At 51.1% G+C, this 6,968-nt stretch overlaps 1 annotated feature.

The window, feature by feature from the left end:
* Positions 5,472–5,972: an enhancer, noted in NCBI's record as "H3K4me1 hESC enhancer chr3:129072356-129072856 (GRCh37/hg19 assembly coordinates)". NCBI's record gives its function as "activates a minimal SCP1, AML or CMV promoter by ChIP-STARR-seq in naive H9 embryonic stem cells {active_cell/tissue: H9 hESC(naive)}" and the evidence as "EXISTENCE:reporter gene assay evidence [ECO:0000049][PMID:30033119]".

The following is a 6,968-nucleotide window of genomic DNA, read 5'->3' on the forward strand; positions in this document are numbered from 1 at the left end:
GGGATGGTCCTGGAGTTTGACCAGCCAGATAAGATTCTCCTTCTCCCCAAGAGAACAGGACCAGGAAGCAAGAGGCGGGCTGGGGGAGAGGGTGGGAGTGTTGTGTGAGGTCTCTCGTCTCCCCAGTGTGCTGCTGTCTTTAAAATCCACTTTGGGGATGAGGGTCCCTCAGGTGTCAATACTGCCTGGACCCTTGTACACTCAACAAGCATTTGAAGGCTGAGCAATCTCTGAGTGCCTGGGGTGATCGTAACACTGATGACCTCACGAACAGTGACATTTACACAGTAGTCGTTATAAGCCAGGCCCTGTCATCGTAGTCTCATGTGTACAGCAAAGGGCATGCGGTTGTTAGAGAACATCATGATACTAAGACCTTGACAAACCAAAACAACATCACAGCTTTCAAATTTGCGGGTAACTCATCCAAATGCTGTTTAGGGCAAAGGTGAGATTTGAACCCAGGCAGTCAGGATTTGATGTTACTCTGTTCTGTGCTGTGCCAACTGTGTGAGGGTGTGTATGAGAGTGTGTGTGTGTATGCCAGTGGTGCCAGCCCATGTCATAGTCTTATTTATTCGTTCCATAGTCTGTACTGTGTGGCAGACACCAGGCCGGGCTCTAGTGGTGAAAAGACAGACAGATGCTGTTGCGGAGTTCTCAGACCGATCAGAGATCATCCTAAGTGCCAGGAGGAGAAAACAGAGGAGATAGACTAAACTAAGGTGGAGCAGTGTGGAAGGCCTTGCCAAGGAAGTAGCATTTACATTGAGCCCTGAAGGAGGTGCGGGAGGGAGCTTGTCAGTACGGAGTGGAGGGAACAGTGTTTCTAGCAGTGGGAACAGCATGTGCAAAGGCCCTGAGGTGAGCATAAGTTTCCTTGTTTGGAGAGCTAAGAGGTCAGCAAGGCTGGAGCACAGAGGGCAGGGGTGAGAGGAAGGAGCTGAGAAAGGGGAAGTGAGTAGGGCCAGATCCCGCCACTCCTTGCAGGCCCAGCAAAGGGATTTGGTAAGGTTTTTAAAGATTTCAAAAAAATCTTAAGATGTTAAAGCCTTTGCAAGCTAAAATAAGATTTTGGTTTCTTTTCAAAGTTGCAAGAAGTAGTTTAATCTAAGATTAATAAAATAGTTACTATAATGTCTCCCATTAAGCACACATTTGGTGCCTGCTGTCTTTAATTCCTACCACGCCTACCTGTAGGTTGTGGCTGTCTCCAGCTAACCTGGGAAAGAGTGGCTCTGGGAGGGAAGTGACTTGCCGAGGTCATGCAGTTCCAGCCCACGAAGCCCCACGTGTGTGCTTCCTTCCCCTGCTCCTTTGTTTCCGGTCTGGTAAATGGGGATCTTTAGTGACCTTGAGGCTTCCGGCACGTTCTTAGCACAATGTGTTCCTATGCGCTTTGTAAAGCAAAAGCAACTCTGAACTTCTTAGCTCGCGTCATCAGCTGTTCCCAGGTGACGGCACCTGGGCACTCCCAGCAGGGCTGGAGGTGGAAAAGATGGACTTTTCAGTGCATTTATCAGCAGGAGCCGGGCTGCCTGGAGGTCAGGAGAGTAAATCACAGCTCCCAGGCCTGAGAGCAGGAGGCGCATAGACAGCAGGGACAGCCGAGGGCCTCAGGGGAACCATCGCCGGCCCTTCACCCTGTTTGGAAACTGAGGCTAAGGTGCTGGGGATGGTGAGGGGGTTCTAGGTGAGCTGGGGCGGGGGTGGCATCAAGGTTGGGGATCCAGCCTCAGGCCTCGGCATCCACGTGAGCTTAGCCTGCCTCCTGCAGCTCCAAGCCAGGGCAGTGGTCTCTGCTCCCAACGTGTGAACGTCTTCTTGTGAGATGCCGCCCGGAAAGTCCCCACTTTGCTGTCTGTCTCCACAACCCTGTCAGCCATCAGCGAAACCTGGTGGACCCCTTCGGAATCTGCCCCTCCAGCCGTCCATTGCCCCACCTGGCCCCGGCACCACCAGCTTTCCCCTGGTTGTAGCATTATGAACGGTCTCCCTGCTCTGCCTGTCAGCCCTGGCCCCTCCTCTGCTCAGCACCCTCCCACAGCACCCACCTCACCCAGGTGACAACCAGGGTCCTCAGGGTGGGCACAGACCCTGCACAATGTGTCACTGTCACCTCTCTGACCTCATATCTTATTGCTCTTCCTCTTGCCCCTCCAGTATCCCCACTAGAACATGAGCTGAAAAGGGGCAATAATTTTTTTTTTGTTTTGAGACAGGGTCTCTGTCACCCAGGCTGGAGTGCAGTGATATGATCATAGCTCACTGTAGCCTTGAACTCCCAGCCTTAAGTGTTCCTCTTATCTTGGCCTCCCAAAGTGCTAAGATTACAGGTGTGAGCCACCACCCCTGGCCTGGGGGGCAGGAATTTTTGTTTTGTTCTCTGATGTGTCCCTAGTGCCTAGGACAATTCCTGGCACATAGTAGATACTCAATAAATATTTGTTAAATAAATGAACAATGACCTGAGGTAGGTATGACTATCATTTTAAAGATGAGTAAACTGACGCACAGAGAGATGAAATAACTAACACAAGGTAATGCAAGTACTAAATAGCAGACTTGAGATTCAAACCCATGCCGACTGGTTTCAGAGTCAGTGTTCTTAGTCCCTAATCTATATTGCTGCTTCAATTAAACTTTGATGAAGCTAGATGTGGTGGCTCACGCCTGTAATCCCAACACTTTGGGAGGCCAAGGTGGGAGGATTGCTTGAGCTCAGGAGTTCATGGCCAGCCTGGCCAACATGAGCAAACCCCATTTCTACCAAAAATACCAAAATTAGCCGGGCATGGTGGCTCATGCCTGTGGTAGCAGCTGCTCGGGAGGCTGAGGTGGGAGGATTGCTTGAGTTCAGGAGGCAGAGGTTGCAGTGAGCCTAAATCAAACCACTGCACTCCAGCCTGGGCAACACAGCAAGGCCCTGTCTCAAAAGAAAAGAAAAAAAATTAAAGTTTGATGAATTAAATTAAATAGCTTTTCTACCTTCTTCTTGTACTCTGTACACTAGATCACCAAATCTTTTCTCCCTTTTGATTCTCTTTCCTACTTCCATTCCCTTGCTCATGCTGTTTCCTCTGATTAGAATGTCCTTTCACATAGAGGACTCTCATTCATTCTTCAAAACCCAACCTAAATTGACCCTCCGCCAAGTAGGGTTAATTTCTCTGTCTTCTTTGCTTCCATTGTCCTGTGGATATACCTTTCTCAGAGTCCTTAAAAGTGATCTATTTATGTGTGTTTATGAATCTTCACTTATCCTTGAGTTTCTTCATGGCAGGGATCTATTCTTTATTTTCTTCATCTCTCCCAGCCTGTGTCTAGCACATGTTAGGGGCCTGATACATATTTGTTGAATGGGTGACTAGAAGGCTTTCTGGTACTTACCACCTGCCAAGTGAATGTATGCTTGTTGAGTCCTATTTATGATGAACTTTCATTTTAACACAGCCCATATGTTCCAGAGAGAGAAAAACAGGCCCAAATCATAACAGAATCACAGACAATCACATCTCTAGGTGACTTTTCATGTCATTCATTCAGTGGCTTCTGGTAAAACAGTGTTCCATCTTTGGTGCATTAAACACATTTAGTGTTATCCGACGTACCATTGCCTTTCATCCCAGGATCAAAAGGCACCATGGGGCTATAAAACTAACTGACCACGGGGGAAGTCCACTTGGTTAGAGGACAAAAGGGACGTTCATGCCCCATTGGGTTATACAACTCCTGGTGGTCGTAAAATGCATTGGTATCCATGTAAAGGTGTTGACCAAAAGTCATGGGGCGGACTATGATAACAAAACCCTTTGCCCTGCATGAGAATTTGATCTTGGGTTAACTTTCTAGCTCTGTTTCCCTGGGAACCAGGTAAAAGCAGAATGTCCCGCTGCTGCTGGGCAGTATTGCTAATGGCACAATGGTATCTGGGCAGGGGGGCTATGAGTACCTGCTGGGCCACCAGGCTTGGGCTTCACAGAGCACAGTTACTCTGTGCTGGACACGTCCCTGTGGGGTGTCCGGGACACTTTGCTGATGGAATTGTTAGTAGAGGTGTTGGCTCCTGAGGGGCATGAGGCTTTTAAGCCAGGGCAGCTCCCATACCTGCCTGATGTGTCTCTGGTCTCTTTGCACCTGTGTGGTCACGGGGGTTGGGGGGTGATTGACAATGGAGATGGTTCCCATGTGGCTGTGTGGGGAACTGCAGAAGAGGAACACTCGAAGCTACCCTCCTGGCATCCTGGCAGGCTGTGCTCCTGTCCTGGGTCCTTCTCTGTGGATGGTGGCCTAGGTTAGGCCTGTGGTGCTGAAAGTCGAGTTGAACCCCAAGACACGCCCTGGTGGGCACTGCAGAGATCAGATGCTCTGTGTGCCCCGTGCAGCACTGGAGAGGAAGCGCACGGGGCTGCTTCAGCACTCAGGACCCTAAAGGAAAAGTGGATTGGCTGAGAGGATGTCACGAGGCTGAAGCCCCCCAGCAGTCTGCCCAATGCCCCTTCTCCCATTGCACCCTGGACAGCAGGCGGTCCCTGCCTGGGCCAGGCCCAGGGCCCAGAACTGGGAGACCAGTGATGCCCACATTGATCCCCAAGGCAGAAGTCATTCTCCTCCCAGGCCCTTCCACCCTTCCTCTCAGGGCCTTATAATTGGGTGTGGGGGCTTCTTTCTTCCTGCTGACCTCCTGGGCTCGGGCAGGACCTCTGTCTTCTCCCTCCTTCTGATTGGCCTGGGCCATAGAGGGGACTCATCCCTGGTGGGGAGGTTGATGTCAGCTCTATTGGCCCCTGTGGCAGGCTCTTGCTCTGCACCGGCCCTGGATGGCGTATTCTTCCTGCCTTTGCCACTGAAGCCTCCCGGCAGCCTCCCGAGGTTGGCCTCCTCATTGCCTCCATTTCTCAGATAAGGAACCAGAGGTTCAGAGAGATTCAGCAACTTGCTCAAGGTCACCCAGCAGCTCTGGGGCTGAGGGAGGACTCGGCCCCAACCCCTGGGCTCAGAGCCTGGCTCTGAGCCACTGCTTTGTGCTGACCAACATTCCCTTCCAAAGCTCATTAATGTCCTGTGACTCCAAACCAACAGCGCCTTAGGAGGGAGCTCTGGGCAGTGAATTTCTAGGGCACAAGATGTCCCCTTCCTTCCCTCCTCTGAGTCTGTCCATTCAGAAAATGCTGAGATGGGCCAGGTATAAAGTCTGGAATGCGGCCCAAAAATGAATCAGATTTTCCTCTTCCTGCTAACGCCTTTGCTTTGACTTCCTCTGCAGTCGCCGTGGTCCCCGTGTGTCCCCAGTATGTCTCTTGTAAGCAGGAGCTTGCGTTCTCAGATCTGGCCAATAGGTGCATGGGGAAGGTGGATGTGGGGAACTGGGAGGCCAGTTTTTCCTTCCCTTCTGCTGGGAGGGTGGGACCTGCCCACCTGTCCCCCATCCCCAGCTTCCCTCTGATAGGAGTTCTGCCTCAAGAAAAACTCTGCGGCAGGGAGGACTCTGCTGGGCACCCAGGGGTAGAGGCTGTGCCAGGAGGTGGTGTGCTCCCATCTCTGGAGGTGGGGAAGCAGAGACCTGGGGGCCTCCCTGCGATCTGGAGGAGCTCCATCCTTGTGGGAGGGTTTGGGCCTTTGGGATCCCTTCTAAACCTGAGTTTGTATCTTTCCATGATTTCCTCCCAGAGCTCAGGCCTCTAACTGGGAAGAAGCCAATTATGCAGGAAGCATTGACGTTTCCATGAAAAGCTGACATTCTGGGGCATTACTGAGGGAGTGTGGAGAGTCAGGCACAGCAGCTGCCCTGTGCCCACTGGCCGGGCAAGCTGGGGGTCTGGATGGGTCACACCTCCCCGCCAACCCTGCCCAAACCTCGATAGCAGGGCCTTCTGGAACCACAGTTCTCAACCTGTCTGACGAAAGACCCCTTTTTGTTATTTCCCGTCCATCACGATTGACACCTTGGTAAGTGGATACTCCTGCGTGAGATGCCAGGGCGCTGAGGGGCTGGAGTTGAGTATGTGCGCTGCCTCTTGCTTTCTGAGTTTACCCTGCTGTGGGCCTGTGCCATGGGGGACCAGCCAGTCCCCAGGCTGCCCCTCAGAGCACGGTTCCTCAGCAGCCGTAAAGGAAGCAGAGGGTCTGGGGCCCCACGCACGTCGCCCTTTGTGGGTCCTGAGCTCATTGGCACATCGAGCACTCTGAGGAGTCTTGTGGGAAAGAAACGTGCTCACTGTTTCCCAAGCCTGTTTGACCTTGGAGTGCTTTCGACGGCCTCTACCACGGAGCTTGGCCCCCAGCGTCTGTTGCGAGAGGCCATTCTCTGGTTGGTGAGGATGTGGAGAAATAAGAACCTCTGTGGCTCCATTGCTGGGGGGAGGAAAAGTGGTGCAGCCGCCGTGGGAAACGGTGTGGTGGTTCCCGAAGGAGTTAAACATACAATACAATTCCCCTATGATCCGGCAATCCCACTTCTCAGTGTAGACCCAAAAGAATTGAAAGCAGGGCCTCAAACAGATATGTGCACACCCATGTTCACAACAGCATCACTCACAATAGCCAAAGGTGGAAGCAAAGAAAGTGTCCATGACAGAGGAACGTGGTCTGTCCCTACAATGGAATATGATTCGCATGAGCAACAAAAGAAAAAGTAGATAAATTGGACTCCATCAGAGTTAAAAGCTTTTATGCTTCAAAGAATGCTATCAAGAAAATGAAAAGACAACACAGAAAAGAAGAAAATATTTGCAAATCATATATACGATAAGGGGCTTGGACCTAGAATGTGTAAAGAACTGTTATAACTCAATAACAAAAGGACAACCCAACTAAAAAGCAGTCAAAGCAATGACAAAAATCACCTGATTTTAAAATGGGCCAAGGACTGGAATAGACATGTGTCCAGACAAGATACACCAGTGACCAGTACACATGTGAGAAGATGCTTGCCGTCATTAGCCACCAAGGAAAGGTAAATCAAAACC

This window comes from Homo sapiens, chromosome 3 (assembly GCF_000001405.40).
Source record: "Homo sapiens chromosome 3, GRCh38.p14 Primary Assembly".
NCBI lineage: Eukaryota > Metazoa > Chordata > Mammalia > Primates > Hominidae > Homo > Homo sapiens.